At 44.5% G+C, this 25,385-nt stretch overlaps 1 protein-coding gene across 8 annotated transcripts in view, besides 1 other annotated feature; it reads left to right on the forward strand.

Annotated features, from left to right (window-relative positions):
- The window catches only part of EML6 (EMAP like 6), a 248,474-nt gene that overhangs the window by 203,336 nt on the left and 19,753 nt on the right, over positions 1 to 25,385 (forward strand). For 4 of the 8 annotated variants that reach the window (XM_017004098.3, XM_047444299.1, XM_017004100.3 and 1 more), the window contains 6 exons: positions 1,426 to 1,627; positions 1,738 to 1,864; positions 19,773 to 19,787; positions 21,119 to 21,127; positions 21,995 to 22,073; positions 23,763 to 23,892. In XM_017004098.3, coding sequence (XP_016859587.1) covers positions 1,426 to 1,627; positions 1,738 to 1,864; positions 19,773 to 19,787; positions 21,119 to 21,127; positions 21,995 to 22,073; positions 23,763 to 23,892 — 562 coding nt within the window. The remainder of the gene's footprint in view (positions 1 to 1,425; positions 1,628 to 1,737; positions 1,865 to 19,772; positions 19,788 to 21,118; positions 21,128 to 21,994; positions 22,074 to 23,762; positions 23,893 to 25,385) is intronic. The other 4 variants (NM_001039753.4, XM_047444300.1, XM_047444302.1 and 1 more) reach the window with 1 other exon arrangement.
- Positions 23,231 to 24,430: an enhancer, noted in NCBI's record as "BRD4-independent group 4 enhancer chr2:55177255-55178454 (GRCh37/hg19 assembly coordinates)". NCBI's record gives its function as "activates an origin of replication core promoter dependent on BRD2, P300/CBP, MED14 and CDK7 cofactors, and independent of BRD4, by STARR-seq in HCT116 cells {active_cell/tissue: HCT116}" and the evidence as "EXISTENCE:reporter gene assay evidence [ECO:0000049][PMID:35650434]".

Below are 25,385 nucleotides of genomic sequence, written 5' to 3' on the forward strand. Positions count from 1 at the left end.
CCCTGTGTCCCTCTTATAAGTTGAGGGTGTAGAGAGGCATTTCTCATGCTCTTTTACTTCTGTAAAGAAACAGCTTGCATTTGTAGTGTATAAACTGGATGTGCTCCTGCTTCCAGCTAGAAGACCAGCAGGACACATGGCTGCAGCTGCTGTGACTGTCCTCTGTTTCCATGCTTTCTGGAACTCACATGTTCAAATGGGTTTTTCTTGGAAATTCTTTTGTTCTGCCTATTTGCTAGCAAACTAATGACTCTGGAGGGCCTCCTGGAAATCCTACCTGCCTGTTTGCTTCAGGAATCTTTCTAGGCTCAGTACTCTGCTGAGGAGTGGGCAGTTCCGCTCTGCCATCAGCTAGTAGTTGGCCAAATACAGGGCGATCTTGACTAGGAGTATTACAAAGTCACGAACCCTCCTGCACCTGTTTCCTGCTGTATGTCTGTGCTGTTTTCAGATTCTCTAGCATGCCAGTCCAAAACCCTCTGGGAGCCACTTGTAAATTACTTAATAAAATTTTCATCTGGGATACTGGTGACTCTGTCACAACCTCAGAGAGTGCATGTGGCCTTCCATATTCTGTAAGGTATTCCCTCGGAGTCGCTGAGAGGATGGAAAAACTCCATGTCTTTAAATGGCTCCCGCTGCAGCTGTTTTTGCCAGGCTGTGGCTCATGAGCTGAATATGGAAGCTTTTTCTGGTGCCAGCTTTGATTTTGCACCACTTGTCAGGACTGCCCTGGCATGAGCAGCTGACTCACATTCCACCCTCCACCCGGGGATAAAGGTGGGGTGGCCTGGGCACACCACTCCAAAAAGCTTTTAGTCGTTACTGATAAATTGGGTTGTATGTATTTGGCTATGTTTGTTGAAAAGGAGCTTTGCTTTAAATCAATGTTTGCGTGTTTGTATTAAAAATTCTTTCTAGCGTCTGTGGCAGAAACCGTTGTGTTCATTTTACATCTTACTTGAGGTCCCAGGTTTATAAGATATCCTTTGCTCTTCTGCCACTGCCTGGACTGTAGTACAAAAGTCACTGTAGGAGATGGCTGTGAAGACACTTTTGATCTCAGATGTCAGCCAGACTCACAGTCAGGAGTTTACACTAGAGACCTGTGGAGGCAGCACATTTGACATTTGAGAGAACCAGAACAAGCTTTTTATATGTCTATAGATTCCCAGAAAATAGGTTCTGTAGTCTAACATTTCATTCATTCCCTCAAAAATATATTGAGGACCTATTGTGAGCTGGGTACTGTTTGAAGAAAAAAGAGACCTAGTGCCTGCCCACATGGAGCTTACATTCTAGTTGAAATGTAGGAAATTGCTGTTGAACTGTTTCCTTTGTATCCAGTAGAAACTAACATGGATAAACGAGCCCAGAGAAAGGAATAACAGTGGCTGGGGTAATAACCAATTTCGGGCTTTACAGGGACAGCACGCAAGATTCAAGAAGTATGTGGGGCACAGTGCACATGTCACTAACGTGAGGTGGCTGCACAATGACTCTGTGCTGCTCACGGTGGGCGGCGCCGACACAGCCCTGATGATCTGGACCAGGGAGTTTGTGGGGACCCAGGAGAGCAAGCTGGTGGACAGCGAGGAGTCAGACACCGACGTGGAAGAGGATGGAGGTGAGCCCCCCACCTGCCACATGCCTCCTGCGCCGAATGCACCTCCCAACACCTCCCTTCCTGGGCCACTGCAAACCAACTGGCTCCCCAATCTCTTTCTGTTGTTTGAGGCTATGACAGCGATGTTGCTAGAGAAAAGGCCATTGACTACACCACCAAGATTTATGCTGTGAGCATCAGGGAAATGGAAGGCACCAAGCCACACCAGCAGCTGAAGGAAGTTTCCGTGGAAGAAAGGTATGGTGTTGCCAGGTTTGCTTGCTTTTATTATACCTGATGACAAGAAACTTGTTTAAGCCAGAGTGCGTTTTCTTTGCCCTCAAAGTTGCTGTTTAAGTCAGTCTTTTATAAATCTTCACAGAGTCTTCACCTGTACACAGGCTTAAGCTGAGAAAAAATTGCACAACATCCCAGTACGTGGCAAAGGGCGGTTTATACTTTGTGGAAGTTGGTTATGGAATGTGACTTGAATAGACATGAAATTTAGTTGGACTACACTTCTCCATGCCCAGAAAAAAATGCTAGGGTAGCCCCAAAGCAGTCCTGACTGTGGCAGCTGACAGGAAAGCCTGCTGACCAGCAAGGTAGGAGGGAGGACAGGATTCTGAGGTCATGGAGGAATGGCTGCAGAGTTGTGAAAAACCATCTTCCATTCTAACCAGAATCTGTGCCTTATACTCCATTCACTTGGTGTATCTTCTCTTACTGTGTCTTCATTTGCCCAGATTTGTCCAGGTGGGTTTGGCATTTCCAGCCTATCCCATTTGGTTTTATTGCCTTGGATCCTCTATATAGAATGAGTGTTTTCTAGTATTATTTTGGGGCTTTTCAATGTGCTGTTATAAGTATTGACAAGAATTGTCAAACACTTTAGCATTTCTAAAAAGAAAAGCTCAGAATTACTATATTACTTAATTTATCATATTCATGCTAAGAGTGGATATTGAATAAAAACTCTTAATAACTAAAGAGAATTTCGTGGATCTCAAAGATGTTTTAATAATTCTGTTGGCTGTTCACATTGAGGTAGGCTCGATGTTGACAATACGCTGGTCCCACAATATGTAATTTATGAGATTCAAGTAGTTTGCATTTAGTATGGCTTTCTGCCTAACAACAATAAGTCTGACCTATCACTTCTTACTATTATGTGGGGTTTTAGATGCAAAGAAATGTAACCTCCTCCTCCTCCTCCTCCTCCTCCTCCTCCTCCTGCTTAAATTCAGTGCCAGATGTTAAAATAAACTTGGTAAATGGTGGGTGTGCTACTGGCAAGAAGATTGAATCTAATGCAAAAAAGCCCTAATTTTTCCCTAGCATCTTTGTTAGATATTACAAAGATCCAGAGCTTTCTTTTAAGAAAAAATTAGAGATTTTTCTGCAGTGGTCTTCAGAGTTCATTTTGCTTGCAACATGGTTTTAAAGTGGCCACAAACAGAAAATAATTTTTAAAAGTCCTAATTCTAAGAATTAAGGGGAAAAAAGAACCATATGCACAGAAGTGCATGAATAGGCCTCCCACTTAAATAATCCAATCTAAAAAAATGTTTCACCTGAAGTATTCATTCCTTTGGAAAAAAAAAAATTACCCAGCCTTTCTAGTTTCATTTCTAGTTTCACATACCATTATGAAATGAGTTGACATGGCCATTATCCCAAGGGTGTTTCTGGCTGATTTCTGTAACTCATTCGTACATCATGCTGAGATTCATGCTAGCCACCAAAATATAATCATTTAACCCAAGCTCCAAATTCCAAACACTACAGCTGATTTCAAACCCTAACCAAGGCTCACCTAATCCTCTTCTTGTCTCATTGCCTCTTTGGGCAAATCTGTCAACATTTCGTACTGCCAAACTTAATGAAAGGTAGGAGGACTGATGATAGAGAGGACCCTAAGAATTTTTCATTTTAAAATTCAGAATTTTCATGCTACCCCATTTTATTATCAAGCTATACCCCATCAGATAGGAAACTGTATAGTCGCATACACTGGAATGACTCTTTTTTTTTTTATCAAAAGGAAAAAGCCTTATAATATTATGAAATAGGGGTAGGCAGTTCAGTAGTTTACTGGCATTTAAAAAAATTCACACCAGGATTTAGTGAAGAAAACAATTTTAAGATAAGTATAGGGTCTGGAGGAGTAATCAAACCTTTTCTGTAGAGAGCAGCTTCCTAGGTAACTTTAAAAGCCTTGACAGCCTCAATTCCCAGAAGGAGCTGGAACTAGAGCACACACTGCCAGCTGCACAGCATGCCGGGAGCAGAGTGGGGCCCTGCCAGGTAGGGTCAGCTAGTAAAGAGCAATAAATGATGGCCAACTTAGCAGTCTCCATGGGGGCAAATCACAATCAGAGCCAAGAACAAGCAGACTCCACCAGTCCTGGTCAGTAATTTTAGGGGAGACTGAACCTCAGAGATCAGACCGTAGGCATCTTTTTTTTTTTTTTTTTTTTTTGAGACGGAGTCTCGCTCTGTCGCCCAGGCTGGAGTGCAGTGGCGCGATCTCGGCTCACTGCAAGCTCCGCCTCCCGGGTTCACGCCATTCTCCTGCCTCAGCCTCCCAAGTAGCTGGGACTACAGGCGCCCGCCACCATGCCCGGCTAATTTTTTGTATTTTTAGTAGAGACGGGGTTTCACCGTGTTAGCCAGGATGGTCTCGATCTCCTGACCTCGTGATCCGCCCGCCTCGGCCTCCCAAAGTGCTGGGATTACAGGCGTGAGCCACCGCGCCCGGCGACCGTAGGCATCTTCTGGACCACAAAATAGAACATTGCCAGGCAAGGCAGGGCATTTGGGGAATTTGAGAGAAAGCAGGATGAGTGATGGAATTGGGAGGGTGGCACAAGATGTTAAACAGCATATCTTAGTCCTCATCTAGGGTATAAAACAGGACCCATGGACTCTAGCATCCTGGAATGACAGAGGGACAGAGAAGGAAAAATGGTGACATCAGGACCACATGAAGCCAGGCAGCAGTGGCCAGCTTCTCCCTGGGAATAATCAGGGCCGTTGCCCAGCAGCTCCTGATACTGTTTTCTTTGGCAACTTCAAGCCCTGCTTGAAGATTTGAGAGGCAGGGGTTTTCCTTGGTGTTCCCGTCATCGTGCCTTCCGTATATACCTGCAGATAATTCTGTATACCTGGGTGCTTTTTCTAAACACTTGGTTCAAGACATGCACCAATGAGACTAATGGGAGACGAGTACTTGAGGACTGAAAGAGATGTGAGCTTGGGACAACCACTCCACGCAGGGTCCTTAGCACTGTTTTGTCACTTAGCAATGTTTCAGGCAGCTCTACCTCTGGTAAATCCCCTGTCACCTAAAAGCAATTAGAAACCTTGAGATGACTGTAGCACCTGTCGTACTGAGAAAAATGCCTTGAAGGTAGCTGTGCTTTATGCATCAATTACTTTTGAAGCAACTGAATTCCTAATTCCTAAATTTTAAGATATTTGTGGATTGTTTCTAATTAGACTCAGTTATTTGACTTTAAAATAGCTGTGAGATTTCAGATCCTGCTTCTTTGCACAATTGCTAATTACATTGTGAGTTCTTATTCTTCAGAAGCCATATGATCTTCAGTTCTAATCTTTCAGAAAATGAGGAAGCTGAGAAGAAATTTACAGTTGGTCTCAAAAGAATCCTGGGCTACACCTACCAGATATGTAATGTCCATGAGGTGTTCAGCGGGTAGCCCAGTTACTCCAGCTTTCCTCTAACACACTGGGATACCCTGCCTCCATGACCCAGACTCATCTGGCTGGTCCCCAACCTTGGGTGATCTTGCTGCTCAGCTGCCACGTGTGGTGTGTGGCTGAGGAAAGTCATGAAGTCTTTTTTACTTTTGGGAATCCATGCTTTCACTCCTTATCTGGGCACTCAGGGCTACCCCACGCTGCCCTCCTTCATCCCCAGCCGACTTGACGCTAATTCTGGTCTAGAGGAACCCTTCCAAACCTTCCCACCTCTCAAGTGCCACGCCCCAACCTGACACACCTCTTACTCTCAACTTTTGACCTTATCTCCTTTGCCGTGTTTTCTTATAATGTACTCTTTTGTCCATCTACAAACTTAAGATATTTAATTGATACTTTAAATATCAGAAAAGTTCCTTTTGGGAGAAAAAATGAAGGAGGAAAGCATAGTTTTTCAGAGCAATTTAAGATACAAAATGCTTATATCATCTCAACATGAGGTATGGTGCCCAAATCCTGTATTCAGACTTCGGTAAAAACAGTTTTCCCCAATTCGTCAAGTGATGAAATCCCTAAGGTTTGCTTGGTACCAAATTACTAGAGTTGCCTGTTAAATTAAGAATTTTCTTTTCACGTTACCAAAGTCACACCTAGCTTACATACTGTTTTTTGATTTATAACATAGGGGCTTTCAAGGGGGTCACCCAACCCAAACTGGCCTAAGCAAAGGGGAACTTACTGGTTTACACACCTAAGTATGCAGGAGTGGGGCAACTTCAGGTGGCACTTGTTAAGAGAACTCAAATCTTGCTGCCAGGATTCTGGTTTTTTCCTTCATATCTCAGTTCTTCTTCCTCTGGGTTATTACAGTTCTTCAGGTAGAAAAATGGCTGCAGAACTTATAGTCTCTGTGGTTCAAAATCAGTAGGAAAGAACTGCCTCTGATTCACAAGTTCCCCCTACAAATGTCTTTTGAGGTGCTATTGGCTCTGGTGGGCCCCAGGACTACCCTTGAACCAATCACTATGGGCTAGGAAGAAAAAGTCTTTGACTCTTACCTTGGAAATAGTCACCTGCCACCATAGACTAGCAATGTAATCACTTCACCTCTCTGTAATCACTTCCCCCAGAGGTGATTTGGACAGACCCAAAATAGAAAATGTCTATTACAGTTCACCCTTTTCTTGTCATATATATTCTCTTAAAATGGCCCCATTTAAAACTATTCTATATATAGGCCAGGCACGGTGGCTTATGCCTGTAATCCCAGAATTTGGGAAGCCAAGGTGGGCAGATTACATGAGGCCAGGAATTCAAGACCAGCCTAGGAAACATGGTGAAACCCTGTCTCTCCTAAAAATACAAAAATTAGCCTGGTATGGTGGCACACGCCTGTAATCTCAGCTACTCGGGAGGCTGAGGCACCAATCGCTTGAACCCAGGAGGCAGAGGTTGCAGCAAGCCAAGATGGCACTGCTGCACTCCAGCCTGGGTGACAGAGTGAGACTCTGCCTCAAAAAGAAAGAAAAAAAAACCCACTAAAAACCCCCACTATCCTATATGTAATTTGAAATGCAGTTATGCCACCTTCCCAAAAAGAGGCGGCTCAAAGTCTCAGCCAGTTGCCACATCCAGGATCTGAGAGTACTATGAAATTTTCTCATCCAGGTCCAGATAAAGCCCCTCATGGTCCTGTGGCTAATGATAATATTAACCACCCTAACTTGCCAAATAGTGGTAAAGAGAGGACAGAATGAAGATAATTTTTTTGAATCACCACTTTGAAGGAGGGAGAATGAGACAACACGCAGTGATCACTGGTCCATAGCGTATTGTCTTCTGCTGGACTGAACAATCAACGATTCCTGCCCTAGCCGTGTGCGAGTATTATATGACTGGATGGTAATGTGAATGTTGGAAAATACCAGCAGTCAGGATATAAAGGTTTTGTTTGTTCTTTCAAAACATACACATATGGAAGTGAAAAATAAAAGTAGGAAGTAACATAATACTCTCTTAAAAGTACAGCTCTCCAAGTGTCCCAGGTTCCTACTGGGATGTCAGTGATGCCCCTGTATTTTGTCATTCTCATGGGAAAATTTGTATCCTCCCGCCCTCCCATGAGCTCCTCCCTTGACGAGAGACTGGCTCAGGGCTTGGCTGCTCCACAGGCACGCATAAGCTGTCACTTTGCTTGAGGGAAGGTCAATTTTTAGACATCTGCCAGGAGACCCACATTTCAGGTCAATCTAAATTCCGTTTTTGTCATTTAGTCCTCTGGCCTAAGATTTGGAGTTATATAGTATCAACTTAGAACATATATACATATATATATATTTATATTTATATTTGAGACTGGGTCTGGCTCTGTTGCCCAGAGTGTAGTATGGTGGCATGATCCTGGCTCACTGCAGCCTCAGCCTCCTGGGCTCAAGCAATTCTCCCACTTCAGTCCCCCAAGTACCTGGGACTAGGACTACAGGTGTGCACCACCATACCCAGCTTATCTTTATTTTAGAGATGGGGTGGTCTTACTGTGTTTCCCAGGGTGTTCTCAAACTCTTTGGCTCAAGCGGTCTTACACCTTGGCCTCCCAAGTGCTAGGATTCCAGGTGTGAGCCACCATGCCCAGCTCAAAAAATATATTTTTTTACATCTCAAACTGATACTTGAATTCTCAAGGGAAAGATATATCAATTAAACAAATTACTATTTTATTTCTTAAGTCAAATCACTTGTCACTCTGCCCTCATTTTTGGTGATAAACTGAGTATGAGTTAATTTATTATTGGTAGATATTCCTTTTTTAAAGTATAGTTTATATTATTTGTCTCTGGAAGGAATATTATAACCTTTTGTAGGCTCAACAAATTTTCATTAATGGTTTGGTATTGGCATTGCTTCGTGTTTAGGTTGTCACGTTTGGTCTTTAGCAGACACTCCTTTGGTTGGGTGTACGTGTCGTTTTTGTAGTACCACCATGTACCTTTGAAAGTGTCTGTTTTTTGCTAAGGAGTCCCATGCTTATCTTTGGTGTTCCTGTCCTGTGAATGGCGTCTGGGCTCTATGAGTACACATAAGCTGGAGATTTGGAGAACACACAAAATCTAGTTCATTCTCCTTTAATTGTTCTTTCTAATGGAAAGTGGTGATTATCACAGAAAAGAACCTTAGGGTATTTTACTGTTGAACAGTAATTACTATCATTTGTAACTACTTTTGCGTATGTTTTTATTACCTAGTATTATATCTGCATAACTTTTTAAAAATCAGAGATGGCCAGCAAAAATTCAACCAAATCAATGTCAAGAATTATTAGAGACATTTAAAACTTTACCCAATTAAAGTGAAACAATTTTGATGAGTCACAGTTTTTATACCACCATCTGAGCGTGCCACAACAATCAACTTTTAAAATACATTCATGCTGAGGTTTGTTACTTTTAAAAATTGTAGTCTTATATTCACATTATGTTTTGTTATTCGCATATATCTTTAAAAATAATGTTTAAGGCCAGGCGTAGTAGCTCACACCTGTAATCTCAGCACTTTGGAAGGCTGAGGTGGGAGGATAACTTGAATCCAGGAGGTTGAGGCTGGCAGGAGTTTAGATGAGCCTGGGCAACATAAGGAGGCCCTATCTCTACAAACAAAATTTAAAAAATTAGCTGGGAATGAAAACACACTCTTATAATCCCAGCTACTCAGGAGGCTGGGGTGAGAGGATCCCTTGAGGCCAGGAGTTCAAGGCTGCAGTGAGCTGTGATCACACCAGTGCACTCCAGCCTGGCCAACAGAGCGAGACCCTGTCCGTGAATGAATGAATCAATGTGTGTTTAAACATCTTGGGCTCATCTCCAGAGGTTTTCATTATCACATTAAGAGAAAGCCAGAAATTAGAAACTTATAACTACGGAAATATTTAGTGCCAATGTCTACATTTTTTGTTCTTATCAAATTATCATGTGGCTTCAGTTTTGTATACTGTGGTAACTACACGATCACAAAGGAACATTCTTTTTGATAATTGATATGTAGCATCTAATAATATCTCTAAGTGTGGGTTATGATCTTTTACTGAAATTCATATGAGCTGACCAGGTATTAGTCTTCCTAGTTACATCTGGTGGAGCCATGGTTAGTAATTTATTTTTAAATGCCTCCTGTTTGACATAGGTGGATGTCCTCATTTCTTCCTCACTTAACCGGCCACATAGGGGTTGGTCATAATGGATATTTTTATTTGCTATATACAGTTGGAACCTGCATTCTACAGAAACCCAACTTTATAATAAGATACAGAATAAATGGAGAATTAAACTATTACAGAAATTGGCATATAAGTACTCACTTAACCTTTATGTTTTGAAGAGGATACAATAATTAGCTCAAGGATTGTTTTCTCAATGCACCTGAGTCAGCCATCTGTATTTTTTTCAAGGTCCTTTATTAACAACTGCTGAGGCATACAGCTTTTGACTGTCTATCCAGGGATGAATAAATGAATGTTAGACTTACCACTTCCTGTTTCTACATTATTTTTATAACATTATTTTACTTATAGCATTTTTCACCTGTCACTGAAAAGAGGTTTAACTGCTCCTTCTTTTCTTACCTGAGAAGCTGCATAACTTATGGCCAAAAGTCAAAATTCCAAACTCACCTAAAGCATATTTTTTTCCTTCCGCAGTAGACTTTGGGCTTGTTGCCAGTCTCTCCTGCTTAGCTCAGGCTAAAACGGTCATGTCTCTCTTTTTTTTTTTTTTTTTTTTTAAAGTCTGGGCCGGGCACAGTGGCTCACGCCTGTAATCCCAGCACTGTGGGAGGCGGAGGAGGGTGGATCACCAGAGGTCAGGAGTTCGAGACGTGCCTGACCAACGTGGAAAAACCCCATCTCTACTAAACATATAAAATTAGCTGGCTGTGGTGCACATGCCTGTAATCCCAGCTACTTGAGAGGCTGAGGCAGGAGAATTGCTTAAACCCGGGAGGTGGAGGTTGTGGTGAGCCGAGATCAAGCCATTGCACTCCAGCCTGGGCAACAAGAGCGAAACTCTGTCTCAAAAAAAAAAAAGAAGAAGTCTTAGGCTAAGCATGGTGGGGCAAGCCGGTTATCCCAGCACTTTGGGAAGCCGAGGCAGGAGGATGGCTTGAGAGCAGCCTGGACAATATAGGGAGACCTTGTCTCTACCAAAAATTTAAAAGCCTGATGTGGTGGTTTAGTTGCTTGGGAGGCTGAGATAAAAGGATCACTTGAGCCTGGGAGGTCAAGGCTGCAGTGAGCCATGATCATGCCACTGTACTCCAGCCTGGGCCATAGAGCAAGACTCTGTCTTTAAAAAAAAAAAAAAAAAAAAAAAAAAAAAGTAGAAAAGTTAGTTTTTAATGCTTAAATTATATTGCCTTAGCTCCAACTTAGTGTAGTTTACTTTATAAATTATGGATAACTGTAGATACTGTGATATTTATAGTTTTAGTCACTGATTTGTTAGATTTTATCCAGTTATTCAGCTGTTTTACCTGGGTAGATGACATGTACACAGCCATCTTCTAAAAAAAGTTTCAAGCAACAGTGTTTTTATATACTCTATCAATCAAACTTTGTGCATTAATTAAATACTGTTTGTATTTAAATCATTATGGAATCTCTGACTTCTACAAGAGTTGGGTCAATGAGAATCAAAGCAAAACTTGGCTCCCCTTGGATTTCCTCTTACGTATAAAACCTCTTTATACGTAAAGAGGTTTGCTTTAATCCCACTTCTGACACCAATCTGCTTCGTCCTCACAGGACAGTGATGTTAGTGATGTGAATGATGGAAAAGTGATTGTATAAAAGTTAGGTGGGGCCAGGTGCTGTGGCTCACGCCTGTAATCCTAGCACATTGGGAGGCCGAGGCGGGCAGATCACCTGAGGTCAGGAGTTCGAGACCAGCCTGGCCAACATGGCAAAACTTTGTCTCTACTAAAAATACAAAAATTAGCTAGGCATGGTGGCGGGCACCTGTAATCACAGCTACTCGGGAGGCTGAGGGAGGAGAATTACTTGAATCACTCCAGCCTGGGCAACAAGAGCAAAACTCCATCTCAAAAAAAAGTTAGATGAAGTTTCTGTAATTTTAGGGTATGCAGAAAGCTATAGATACAGTTACATAAGGCAGGAGCTAATAGCAATTTTTAGGCGGCACTGTTAGGGCTTCCCAAGTCCCTCTCATGCCTCAGTGAGACATACAGCCATGCTTATTGGCATTTTTCCAAGCACAAGAGGCTTCCTTTATTTCTCTGAGATGTATTTTATACTTTTCTACCATCTCCTCCTGAAACACATACCCAAATGTTTAGCAGAATCTGAGTACATGCCTACCAGCTCCCACAGTATAAGTAACTACTACAAAACAGTTCTAACATACTTTGACACGTCCACTATGGGAACTAACTGACTTTGGCTTCAACAGAACCCTGCCTCAGGCCCAGGCTTCACGCTGTCTGAGGTTCTCTTCAGCACAATGTGATGGGTTCCTTGGACATCTTCTGGCTGCACCTGTTCGGATCTCTGAGAAGATTTTGTTTGTCTTTGTTCTGTTTTGCCAAGTCTGAGATTGGCACTGGGGAAAATTGCCTTTCTGAGGGCTTTATTTTTGGTTTCCGTATTATCTCATTTCTGTTGGTGGGAGACCTGGGAGTTGCCTTAAGAACTGAACAATCACAGGCCCTTGCTGTTGACCTGATCAGGGTTACACGTAAAGCTCTCCTCTCCCAAGTAGGTTGTCAACTCTGTGAAAGCAAAATTTCTGTTTTATACACTGCTTTATCTCTATAATCTAGAACATGCTGGCACTTAGTAAATGTGTGTTGAATGAATAAATGGATTCCTTAACAACAAGATTTAGATTCATTTTCATTCTAGCCCATGGATTAGATATCAAATTCTGAGATCTTGTTGACACTTTGTCATTAAAATCCATAATCCAGCTAGGAAATCTCTGCTTCTAAGCAGTTGGCCTCCCTGGTCATCCTTCCAGCGCTCAGGCTGCAGCATTCTCCATCTGGCTTCTGCCTTTAGGCAATTCCAAGTAGTGGTCTGAAGTGGAGAAGCCCTTGCCCCAGACTGCATCTCAGTGGTGTTGAGGGTAGTTGTCTGCTTTGTCTGGCAGGGAATGTGTGATAGTGGATGTTTAGGAGGGGTCTAGAGGATCAGGCAACTCTCCTTTCTCTGTCATACTTGCTGTAAGTTTACTTCCATGTGGATGGATGAGTACTGCTTCCAACAGTCCCCATGGACGAGGACTCATTTCCAAGTACCAGTAGCCCCTTGTGATATGCACCCATATTTGGCTGATCGCAGCTGTCAGCATTCCATCATTTTCAATAGCCCCCACTTGTGGACCAGCAGGCATGTCATAATCCTGAAGGGTGATCCTTATCCTCCCCGCTCCCTGCAGTGCCCCTGCCTGGGTTCTGCTCTGTCTCTCTTGACCCTCCCTCCAGGCAACAGCAGAGGCTAACAACTTTCATACAAGAGATGGTTGTCCTGGTTTAATGAGATTTGGGCATCCCATACAAGTCTAGGGGTGTGTCCCAAGTGGAATTCCTCTCCCAATTCTCTGTGAAGAGAGGGGAAAGGAACCATTTCACTTCACAAACTGCCTTCCACTATAGAGGCAACTTAACTCTCCAGCCATCTCAGCGGCCCGGCACAAGCAAACACGAGGAGGCGGTGCCAGAATTATTCTTAGCAGCAGATTATAAAGGAGGAATCTGTGAATATTCTGCATTAATATTTTAGTCCTTGTGGAATATATTCACTGTCAATCTATGGCATATGTTCCTTAGGAAACCAAGGAACTTTTACCAAACCAAAATTAGAAGTAGTTTCTAAGCCTTTTATAAATGGTGGTGCCCTTACCTGTGAACTGACAGGCGCTAGCACCAAATGACCTCAAAATTCCACTGTAGTATTAGCATTTTCCAGAATTTTTATTAGACTGTGCTTACAGTTGAATGGATAAGGCATTAAAACCTATCTTCCACCTCATTCTTTCTGAGTTGATTTGAATGGGTTTATGAACTGAAACAAAAAGAAAGTTCTATAAAGAAAACTATATACTGTGGGCTTAAAAAAATTTTATGGGGTTTCAGAGATTTTTTTTGTTTGTTTTGGTCATGTTTTGGTTTCAACTCTAAATTAATAGCCTTCTTTAATCCTTGATTCCTTAATTTATTAGTCTGTGGCGTCAATATAAAATTTCACTGGATTATAAACTGTGTAGGATTATCAGTTCCCCAGTGGCTGGTACTGTACCTATCATGGGACCACTGTGTGTCTAACGTGGTACCTTACACTTAATACACAGCAAACAAATACTTTTCAAATGAATAGATGAATGGACCAATTTACTTAGCCTGATTCTCTTAATATTTAATCTGTCTTCAAGATGCTGTGCAAGTCCATTCTTGGTCAGCGACCACTTTTACCTTCACTTCATTAGCAACTATGGATGGTCTTTGTGGGAAATGATGTGACTGATGTAGAATCCAGGGTGCCCCAGTTGGCCCTGGGACTGCACTTGGCAAAATGACTTTTTGATCTTTGTAGTATCTGTCCTTCAGGAATTACAATGTTTGTTTGGTTTAAATCTGTTTAACCCCAGGCAAAAGGAATCAAGAAGATTCTGTGTCACTGTGGCTATCATGCCTATTGTACACACCAAGGTGCTTTGTCAGCAGGTTTACAATGAAACAAAGAACATGCTCATAAGTGACTACGAGAAAACGGGAAGGATGTAGACAGGTTTCCTTCAGTCACCAAATCACCGTATATAAGTAATCCCAGTTTTCCTTCTAACCTTTTATGCTGTGCTTGGAAACAGAAATCTGGGAGAAGTTGCCCCCAGTTTGTATTTAGTTTCTAATTTTTTAATTGACATGCAATAATTTTATATGTTTATAAGGTACATAGTTTCAATATTTTCAATGTATAGTGGTCAAATTGGTATCATTAGCATATCTTTCACCTCGAACATTTGTCATTTATTTCTGTTGGGACCATTCAAAATCCTCTCTTCTGCTGTTCACTCATATGTGGAAGCTGCCCCCAGTTTTTTTTAAACGCCTTATTTAATCAGGAGATCTGTGGGAATTTCAAGCTCGCCTGAGGCATGATGAGCATGGTGAAGTGGCACAGTGTCAACGGCAAATGAGCAACCTGTGCTCCCAGCTCCTTCCTCAGCGTAGCCGGACAGAGGCCCTTTGTTGTCATTGATCAATAGCTGTTTTGTGGGCCTGTATTGTTAGAGTTGCTAAGAACTGACCATCCTGCTAAGCTAATGCTGCTGGATTTACCATATAGAGATTGATGAAAACTGCTCAATCCTATCTTGAAGCTTGGCCCAATAAATGGGGAGGAACTTCTAGTTCTACATTTCCATCCCGTTTCCAAGGCTGGAGTGAGCTTACAGAGCCTGAGAGTTGGTACAGAGATCTGCAGTTGCATGTGTGTTGTTTAAGCTGAGCCCAGCTCTCCCCATGGGAGAGTGATGGCACACGCGTAGTGCACGCAGGGCGAGGAGCACTCCTGCTCCAGAGCCCTTCTCTCGAAGCTGCGTTCTTCTTCATCCCACCCCTTCGTTCTGCAAGAGTTCTGCCCGCATAGCTGCAGCGAGCAGGTAGAAATGCAAGACTCCTGTTCTTTATGAAGTTGGAAGGGACTGAAATTATAATATCTATTAAACCCAGAAATGCTGAAATTAATCATCTCCAAGGCCTATTGCTTAGTTAGGTAACTCCACTAAAAGCTGAATCATTCGTTGATTTTTTTCTAAGTGAATATGATGCTATTTTCATAAATGATTTTCTTTATTCAAACCCCTTGATTTTCTGTATTGGTTTGAAGCAAAGCAATGACTTCTGTCTGATAATTTTAGGCATTAAACCTGCTGTTCATTATAGAATAGTTTCTTCACTTTTGATGACAAAGAGTGGCCAGTGTATAAAAATCCAGAAGTAAAGTGTTGGAAAATGATTTTTAGAAGCTTAATGTGCCTAGGAAATCACACTCCCACAGTGTAATCATCAAATCAAACCTACTCACTTATGGAGATAAAAGAACACTTCAAAAATATGTAAGCACTTTTCTGTCAAAAGGGAGTGACTCTCCGAAGACTGTGGCAGAGTTGGGTCTGATTCTTTTAGGCAAGTGTCTGAACATCTCACAGATTCTCCATCTGGGGGGAATGGGCACTACCAGGGGTGTTGATCTGCCTCCTGTCAATTAGTGTGTGGTCAGGATGTGGTAACCGAGGAGGCATTTGCAGGAGTGGAAGGTGTGAAGGATCAGGGTGCTCTTGTGGGTGTGTTTAAACTATGTTGGCGTGCTCTTTACCCGACTCCCTCTCGCTCATTTGAAGTTCGTGTCATGCTCTGCCATCTTCTGCCCCTTCCTGTTCTTGTCATCTGTCAACTTCCTGTCTCTGAGCAATTCAGCTCATGGTCAACTGGCCAACCCCAGCCAGCTCCTGCCATGCCCTGGGTTACATCATCACCAGGAACTCCTTTGTCCCTCAGTGTCTTAACCAGCTGTCCTCTGGATTTCTCATTCCCGGGTACACCTGATCTTCATCAAGACAAATAAGTGCCTAGACACCTTCATTTTTCCCCAAGTTCATCAGCCCTTCCTGGCCTCACTTTTTGTGCCTACCCAAATGCCATTTCCCAGTCCTGTTGGCCCTTCTCCCCTACATTCCTCCTACCACCTGCCTCTCCACTCTTCTTATAGGAAGTCCCACGTTGGCACAGATGGCCACCACCAGAGAGGCTGCCTGGCTGCTGCACATGGCCCTCCAAGCTCCTCCATCCTTTCCTTTGGTTGGTTTTCTCTGCTGCTTCTCAGCAGTCATCCAGGTTTCAACTCAACCTCCTGCCCCTCCTTCACTGAGAAAACAGAAGCCACTGGCACGCATTCCATCTTGGTGCTTCTTTCTCTCTCCTCCATTTTGCTTCCCATCCTTCACTCACGTAAGCCATTCACCTTCTTCCCTCTCTTCTCAGAGGAAGTAAGTCCCTTCTCCTATTCAAGACAGTTCCCTCACCTGGTGCTTGGCCCCGGCCTCCTGTCCATCCATGCTCCCTCATCTGTGTCTCCTGTGTCACTCTCCCACAGCCAGATCCATGTCCTCAACCAAAAAATACATCCCAGTTTCCCACCTCCACCCAGCTCTCCTCAGGAAAAAAAACAGGTCCTTTGATTAATCTTATAAACTTACACATTTCTGCCGTCACCTTCCTTCCAACCTTTTTCCTTTCTCATTCAGGCCTTGTAGTCTTTTCTTCATTCTCTATCCTATCTCATCTGTCCTCTGTCCCTGCCATTCTGCTGACATGGGGGCTCTTTAACCCCTGAGTCCAGTGACTCTCCTCTCTCTGTCTTACTAAGAGAACTTGTTTCTTCTAGAGTAGCATTGTCCAGTAGAAATATGTGAGCCACGTGTATAAATTTTCTAGCAGGCACATTAAAAAAGTTGAGATGGTGACATTGATTTTAACAATATATTTTAACTCGATATATTAAAAAATATTTCAACATGTAATATAAAATTATATTTTACATTCTGTTAAAAACTTTTCAGTAGGACTTCAAATTCCAGTGTGTATTTTATAGTTATAGCACAATTCAAACTTTTGAAAGCCACATGTGGCATTGGCTACTGAATTGGACAGTGCGTGTTAGAGAAGAATATAAACGTTCTTCTCTCGCCTTTTTGAAAGAATCTCTCTTGGCCCTTCTGGTGCCTCCCTCTCTCTTCTCAGTGTCTCACCTCTGCTTCCTCTTCCAGCCCCTTACATGCTGTTGGTCCTCAGGATTTTACCTTTGGCTGGCATCTTTTCACCCTCTACCATCTACCCTCTCTCTTAATTAATCTTTTATATCCCACCCATTGGCTAGTGATTCCCAGGGTCATGTCACTGACTCCCATCTCTCAGTGGAACTTCCAACTAACAAAGCTATCTCACGGGTGTTCAAAGCTCAACGTGCCAAAATTGAACTCATCATCTTCCCTCATTGATATTTTCTCTCTGTCTCATTCCATGATACAACCATCTGTCCAGATATGCAAGCTGGAAAACTGGTATTGCCCTTGAGTTGCTTTTCCTACTTCATCCCCTAAAGACTCTCCATGACAAAGTGCTGTGAAGTCTATTTCGCCAACCTTTCTTTAAATATTCACCTGTTTTCTTCTCCATAACCACTGCTCCAGTCAAGTGCTTCATCATTCCTCTCTTGGATCATCACAGTGGCCTCTTCAGTATTCTGCCCATCTTTACTTAGTTCCCTTTACGCCACCCTTTGTACTCTCATTTTTTCACCCAAATAACTTTGTATTCACCTAAAATAGCCAAGTCTAAGACGATATCCCCATTTTTTAAAACAACAACAAAAAGACACAAAGCTGTGTGATAGGCTTCAGTCAAGAGCATTTTCAAGAGGGTAGGCTTCTTTCAGGACATCCTGCAGTTCTTCTGCCTGAATCCTTTCCATCACCCCATCACTAAGTATCTCTGTACATGATTCTGGAAGACATAGGAATACACTCAACAGAGTCCAGTTCTTAGGAATACTGTTAACAGAGTCCAGTTCTGAAGAATGCACTTGACACAGTCCAGTTTGGTCTTGATAACAGAGAGGCCCCCTGGCTTTGGAGATTTTTCCTAACCCTGGATTTATCCTAGAGCAGTGGTTGCTAATTTCTCTGTGTTTCTCGCCCCTCCCTTTCTCCCTCCCCTCCCCCATCCATTCCTCCCTACCCCCCTCCTTCCCTCCTCCTTCACTCCTTCCCTCCTCCCTCTCTGCCTCCCCCTTCTCCCATTCCTCCCTCTCTCCCTCCTCTCCCACTCCTCCCTCTCTCCTCCCATCCCATTCCTCCCTCCCTCATCCCTCCCTACCCCTCCTCCCCCTCCCCTCTTTCCCCCTCCCCTCTCTCCCCTCCCCCTTCTCTCTCCCTTCTCTCTCTCCCTCCCCCTTCTCTCTCCCCTCTCTCTCTCCCTCCCCCTTCTCTCTCCCCTCTCTCTCTGCCTCCCCCTTCTCTCTCCCCTCCCCCTCCCCTTTGGATTTCCCAAGACATTCTAAAACCATTGGAGCATTTTATGCCACATTTTGGAAGCTGAAGAAAGCTGTTTCCTCCAAGGACACTTTGAACATTGTCTGATGAACACGACTCAAAACAACTTCAAACTTGAATTTCTTGGCTAGTTGGAACTGAGTTTCCCCACACTCACACCCACACCCACACCCCTCTTTATAGAAACTGGTTGGAACGACTTGGTTTCTCACAGGCTGTCCAAGCCTCACTCCCCAGTTGGCTCTCATGTTGTACTCATCTTGGGTTGCAACTGACTCGTGACCTCAGTGGTTTCAGAAGCTTCCCTGAGCACTTTGGCCCTGAATGCTCTTACACATTTCAGGTCATTGTGTGCTCTGCTCCACCTCTTGCTCTGTCAGCCCAGTGCCTTGGGGAGGGGGAAAGGAGGGACAAGTACCCAGGCATTGGCCTGCCTTGCGGGTCTGTGCAGGGCAAGAGCCCGTGTCAGGATAAGACTCCCCACATCTTTAGTTGAGTCTAAGCTTTCTCTTCAGCAGCCCAGCGCTGGGCAGTGGGATGACAGCAGGAATTGGCCTTCCCATGATCCTGCCCTGCCCACAGAATGTGCCAACTGTTTCCACAGGGGGTACAGGGTTGTGACTCTCCCCACAGGCACTGAAGAGCAGGGCCGACTTGTTACTCAACACCAAGCCCCAGGCTGGAGTTCACAGCCTCTCCCTGGGCTTCCTGCCTTCACTCTGTCTTCTTGGCAGGCTTCTCCTGCTCTCCAGAGCTTCGGCCTGTGTGCCACCCTCTCTCCTGATTATCCAGTTTGTTTGCTGTCTTGCCAGGCTCCCTCCTTAAATTTCTTGCCAATGGAAGCTCTTTCTCCTTTGTTCCCTGACCCTGCCCCCCTGCCCATTCTCCTCAAAGCCTACTTGCCCCACCAGGCCCCTTTGTGTCTCTGCTCCTCCCACCTCCAGTCTCTCACCCCCTCACCTTCCCAGATCTTGGCCCCACTGGGTCTCCCTGCCAATGCCGGGTTGTGCCCACAGCCTTCCTCGCACTCCTGTCCTGTGCCAGCTGGGAATGACCAACTCTAATGAGCTGATTGGACTGAAAGTGAGTGAATGTCCTCATGCCTCCACTCCTTCCCACCTCAGCAAAGCTTTTCAGAGTCCCATTTCTGATGGAATCTGAATCTAGAAGGATTTAGATCCACGGAAAACTGTTAAACCTCCAGTGTTTGGCTACGTGTGAAGTCTCTGGCAGTCCCTCCCACATCTGATGTTATGAACACTGTTTATAGATGCCTGGAAAGAAGCTTTTAATACTTGTATTGTGTTTTAACTTGCTTTCCTTTGGAGGCAGGGAATTGTCAAGTAAGTATTCACACCGCTCTGGAGACAAACACAGGTGTTTGGTGAACATCCAGTACTAAGTGTTCACGCAGAATCCACAACCGCGAAGGGTCAATACTTAAAATCCGCTGAATTTGCCACAATGCAGGTTTCTTCCCCTTGCTCCTCTCATCTTCAGTTTTGAAGCAATACAGCTGTAAACATATGCTTGCGAAATGAGAAAGAAACATTGAGATTGCTTTACCTTTCGGTTTTTTTCTGAAAATCAAGGTGAAAAAAAAAAGCATCGGATTGCGTCTGTGTATATATATACAATCTCCTGTATATATAAATACACGGTGTTTGTGCTTGTACGCATACTCTATATTCACTGTATAATATATTACATATTATACAACCTGTGTGTCCCCTGAAATCGAGCCCTGTGTTTATCCTCAAATAATGCCTTATGAGCCATGCCATAGTTCCAGTGTCCTCTTGCTCTCCTCATAGCCCCTGGCTTGCTTTTGTCATACACTTAAACGTTCTTAGGTGAAAGAAGAAACCCACGGATTTCATTTGAAAGTCCCACTAAAACAGAAGAAAGAGCAGATGTCCTGGGAAGCGATAATTAATGTGAAGGAAGTGTCTAATTGTGAGAACTGGCATGCCCCCAGTCTCCCGATTTTGCTCAATTTGGTGGCGATGATGTCAGCCGGGGGTGTCGTTTTGCAGAGATGTGCTGTCTACCCATTCTTCAGTGGTGATTATAATACCGTTTGGTCCAATTATCACTTATGATTACATAACGTGTTTTGATTGAAGAGTTTCTGAGAAAATAAAGGTACCCTGTCTTCCCCTGCACACAAAAAGAACCCCCGCAAGCCATTCGAGCAGGCAGGCTGACCTACCAAGAAACACTGGGAATTATTAGGCTAAATTATGAGTTGAACTTGATTTGGAAACAAAGTATCCATTGTACATAACTCCCCACGACATCCAGGAAGATGTCATTGTTTTTCTGACAGCAAGTTTCTCCCCAGCACACTCTAAGCAGAGTCCCCGGGCGCATTCGTAAAGTCACGGAGAGTGTGCGGGAAGCATTGACAAAGCTTCCTTTTCTCTCCCTATTCTGTAGGCGCTTTAGTGCAGAGTTTGCCCAGAGACGCCAGGGTATGAGCTTTCTGAATTTGTAGACTGGTGCACTCTTTCATTTCTGTTTTAGTTCTTTGCTGGCATGCTGGGGAAGCATGGTGTGTGCCACACAGGAATGTCTGTTCACTTGGAAAATGCTTGTGCATGAATGAGGTGGTTGCTAATGCGGCTCTAAACTGTACTAAGTTTCTCACTTGGCTTTGTTTGCTGCTTTCAAGGGGATCAAGGTAATCCTTCTCTTTGCATATCCCGGGAGCAATAACTAATTACTTTGGAACATGCGGTGGGAGCTGGTACAGTTCTTTCTCGACCCATCCATAGAGAAATCTGATTTAAGGAAACCCCACGTCACCAAGAACTGGCGTACTCCTCTAGGATTCCATTAGGGCTTACACATTATAAAATCTCTTCATTAAATTTGGAGGCCCCAGACCCCAAAACGGAGGCGGGAAAAGCAACCTTTGGTGTGGTAGCAGCTGAATGCAGACCCGAGTCCTGAGGCGAGGGCGGAGTGGGAGGCGGGAGTGCTGTCTGTCTCCTGTCCCTCTGCTTCCTGCCTGCCTGTCTGAGAAGTGAGGCCGACCTAGGCACTTGGCCTGTGGTCCTTAGGGCCCTTTCCGCAGCCTGGCTTGTAAGTGCCACTTCACGCCACACCATGGCCATCGACAACTTAATTCTGAACAACATGAGCACATCCCTGTCTGAAAAAGGTCAGCAAGTCCAGGAAATGTGGCCTCCCGCCCCTCATGGTCAGGCTTCTCCTTGGTTTTGAACCAAGCCCCTCTTGTTTCAAGCCCACATGTTCTTCCTGCTCCCCCTGCTCCCAGGAGAAGGTTAAGCAGAGGGAGGAGGGCTGACCCTGACCACGGTGCCTCAAGCGTGGGGAGGCCCAACCCAGTGCCTGTGAATTCAGGCTGGGTCCCGTGGCAGGCGGGGAGTGAGAGAGGAGGGCAGGACTGAACAGATCCAAGTGGAGGGGCCTTTGAGGCGGGAGGAGAGAGGAGGCCGGCACTGGCCTAGACAGGCCACACCGGGAAGGCAGCCTTGCAGCCCTTGTTCAATGCTGTGCTTCCTCTGGCCGCTCTCTCTTCCAGACCACCCGTTAGCCGAGCAGCTCCCCAGCCTGAGAAACTGCAGAAGAACAATATCACCAAAAAAAAGAAACTGGTTGAGGTGAGTTAAACAATCACTTGTAGTCTGATATTGACGTTCTAAGACATACCTGGTAGACATCCCCATCTGCACGTCCCAAAGACACAGTCAAATGAAACGGAGTAGGTCCCTTGGGCTCTCTTTTGTCCCCTCTCCCTCCTACGTAGCACTGTGTCTTCCATCCCAGGGACCAGAGTCGCAGCCACTGTATCGTATTCCTGCTTCCCCCAGCCCTGTCACCAGGTCCTTTCAGTACTAAATCTAAGATGTCCTGTGTCCCTCAAGCCTGGCTCCGTTTCCCTCCACTTGGTCCCACTCAGACCCTCAGCATCCCTTCCATGGAGAAGAAAGGAAAGAGACAGGGGAGCACATATTCACCGTCTCTAATGTTGCCTGAGCCCCGACTGTTTGCCGGGTGCCCTGCTCCATAGCCACGAAGCGTTTCATACAATCTTCACACACAGGAGGGACGCACCATTACTGTTTCCATTTTCCCGACGAGGACGCTGTGGCTGAGGGGAGTTGAGGGAGTTATCAGGTCCCAAGCCCAAGATCACCAAGCCAGTAAGTGGAAAGGGATTTGAACTCAATTGTTGAGACTAGGCTCTCATAAAGTCAGAGGCCTCCTGACTGTTCTGCCTGACTTCAGACTCCACCCTCTCTCTCTGACACATGCCCCAATGCCTCCAGAGTTGGTTTTTTAAAGTATACATCTTCCATGCCTCATGCTGGCCTTCAGACCTGGGAGAGTCCCACATTGCCAATGGGATTCAAGTTCATGGTTTCAAAACCTTACCCAGAGCCACCTTCTAAGCTTACCGCCTATGATTTTTCACCACAGTGCAAATCTCTGGCCCCCCAAACCCACCGCTAGTGTTCTCGGAAGCTGCCTGGGACTTTCAAGCCCCTGTGTTGTCATTCCTTCTGCTTAGAAGGCTCCTCCTGCCAGCTCCCAGTACCCTGGTCTTTCCAAGACCTTCTCCAGTATCTTTTCTGTAGAGTCTTTCCTGATGCTTCTCACCCTAAACCTTCCTGCAGTTCCCTGCCCACACCCCATCCTTCCACCTGCACAGTGATAGGCACAGAGGAGCTGCCTGAGAGGTCTGTGTTGGATTAAGAACTGATCTGAATCAGCCACTGTTCTTTGTCTTAGAAGACAAGACAGGAAGATGAGAAAGACTATAAACCTCAACAGTATCTAGTTTTTGGGGGAAAAAAATGGCAAATATGTAGCAACTTTGTAGAGCAAGCACCAGGCAGCAGAACGAGCATGGCCTTTGACTCTATGTTCTGCTCTACCCACCCTGGTCACATTGATGAGAGTTTATTAGAGCAAACCTCTGAGCCACCATTCAGCTCACCCAGAGTGCCTGCCAAGGCACAGACACAAAACTGCTAGGTACCCTTTACAGGGCATCAAATCTCTGGACTTTGGCACACTGACAGAGCCAGGAAGTAAATCTGGGTTTTTTGGAAAGTCATGGTGATTCTGTGTGTTAGACTGCCACCCCAGCATTTCAGAAAACTAAAGAAGGGGCTGCATTTTCTCCTCAGCCAGTCAAGAAGCAAAATGTTTTCAGTGAGTGTGTGTTGGCGTCACCAGCCATACCGTTCCTGGGACACACGAGGCTGCTCACGCAATGTGGGTGTGTTCCTCGGCTCTCCCTTCCTTCCTCTGAGGGTCACATTGATCTGTGTGTGTGAATGCAGGAGCTGGCTCTAGACCACGTGTTTGGCTACAGAGGTTTCGACTGTCGAAATAACCTGCATTACCTTAATGATGGCGCTGACATCATCTTCCACACAGCAGCGGCTGGCATCGTTCAGAACCTCTCCACAGGTAACCGGGGGTTAAAAAATACAGGTTTTTCTTTTAGCTGTTTTTTACATGCTTTCCCCACTCTTTAGATGCCCAAAAGCTTAAGCATTTTCCTTCCCTTATAGAGCCATTCCCCCCAATTCCAGCATGGTCTCAGTTAGGCCTGGTAACGCTCAGGTTCAGTTACCAGAGTCAGAGCCTTCTCTCTTTCTGACCTGAGCTTGACCTCACCTCATCATAGGCCCTAGAGAGAAGGCGGCCATGTTGACACCAGCCTCTGTAACCGACAGCCATGGAGAAAAGCAAGAGACAGGGTGTAAGGAGTGGAGAAATTCCTTGGAGACCATAACCATGAAGAAATCACAGAACTTTGCCTATTCATTTTTACAATGAGCTATTTTTTAACAGCTCAGATTTTTCAAGTTGTATTTTGACAGTTTAGCCACATTTATAATGAGAATGAAAACAATTAAACAATAAACAAAAATACCAGGCCCGGCAAGGTGGCTCATGCCTGTAATCCCAGCACTTTGAGAGGCTGAGGTGGGCGGATCACCTGAGGTCAGGAGTTCGAGACCAGCCCGGTCAACATAGAGAAACCCCATCTCTACTAAAAATACAAAAATTAGCCAGGCATGGTGGCAGGTGCCTGTAGTCCCAGCTACTCAGGAAGCTGAGGCAGGAGAACCCAGTTTGAGGTTGCTTGAACCTGGGAGGTGGAGGTTGCAGTGAGCCAAGATCGCGCCATTGCACTCCAGCCTGAGCAACAGAGGGAGACTCTTATTTCAAAAAGAAAAAAAAAAATACTCAAACCACATGGTGACTCAAATTTTAAAAATGAACATTTCAAACAAAAAGAACCATTCAGAAATTAACAGAAAACTATATCATTACCACCAGATTTAAACAGGTTCACATTTTGCCTTATTTGCTCATGCCTCAAGAAAAAAAAAAAAACACCTTTCATTTTAAATTTTTGTTCTTTGTCAATTCTGTGTAGTTGTTCATACATAGATTTAAACAGTGAAATCACTGGGCACATGTTGATTTGTGTGTATCTGAGGGGGAGGAGGACCTTGACATTGTCTATATATTTTCTTCACTTTCTAGCCTTGCCATCATATTGGTAGCAGTACACACCTTCCTTGTGTATCTACACCATCATTCATCTTTAGGTTCTTGAGCATTTGGGTGGGTTTAAAGTGGCTATTATGGAAGTCAGCAAACCCATTTGCTTTGATAGATGGTAAAGTGCTCTTTCTTCCACTTCCTGTGACATATGTCGAGTTAGGGCTTTCCAGGGTAAAGCCATCACCTGTGCTGTCCAGGCCCCCAAGTGGATTGGCATTTGGTGAGCAAAGGTGATTAGTCCCTGAGAATTTCATATTCCACATGAAGAAGTGGTACCATTTTGCTCAGTAAAGCATCATCTCCAGGCCTCCACCCCTACTTCTGCCCAGATGTGGACACTGAGAAGCACCAGTCCTGTGCCATGGAGTGGAGGAGACTTTGAC

Source organism: Homo sapiens, chromosome 2 (assembly GCF_000001405.40).
Source record: "Homo sapiens chromosome 2, GRCh38.p14 Primary Assembly".
In the NCBI taxonomy this organism is placed as follows: Eukaryota; Metazoa; Chordata; class Mammalia; order Primates; family Hominidae; genus Homo; species Homo sapiens.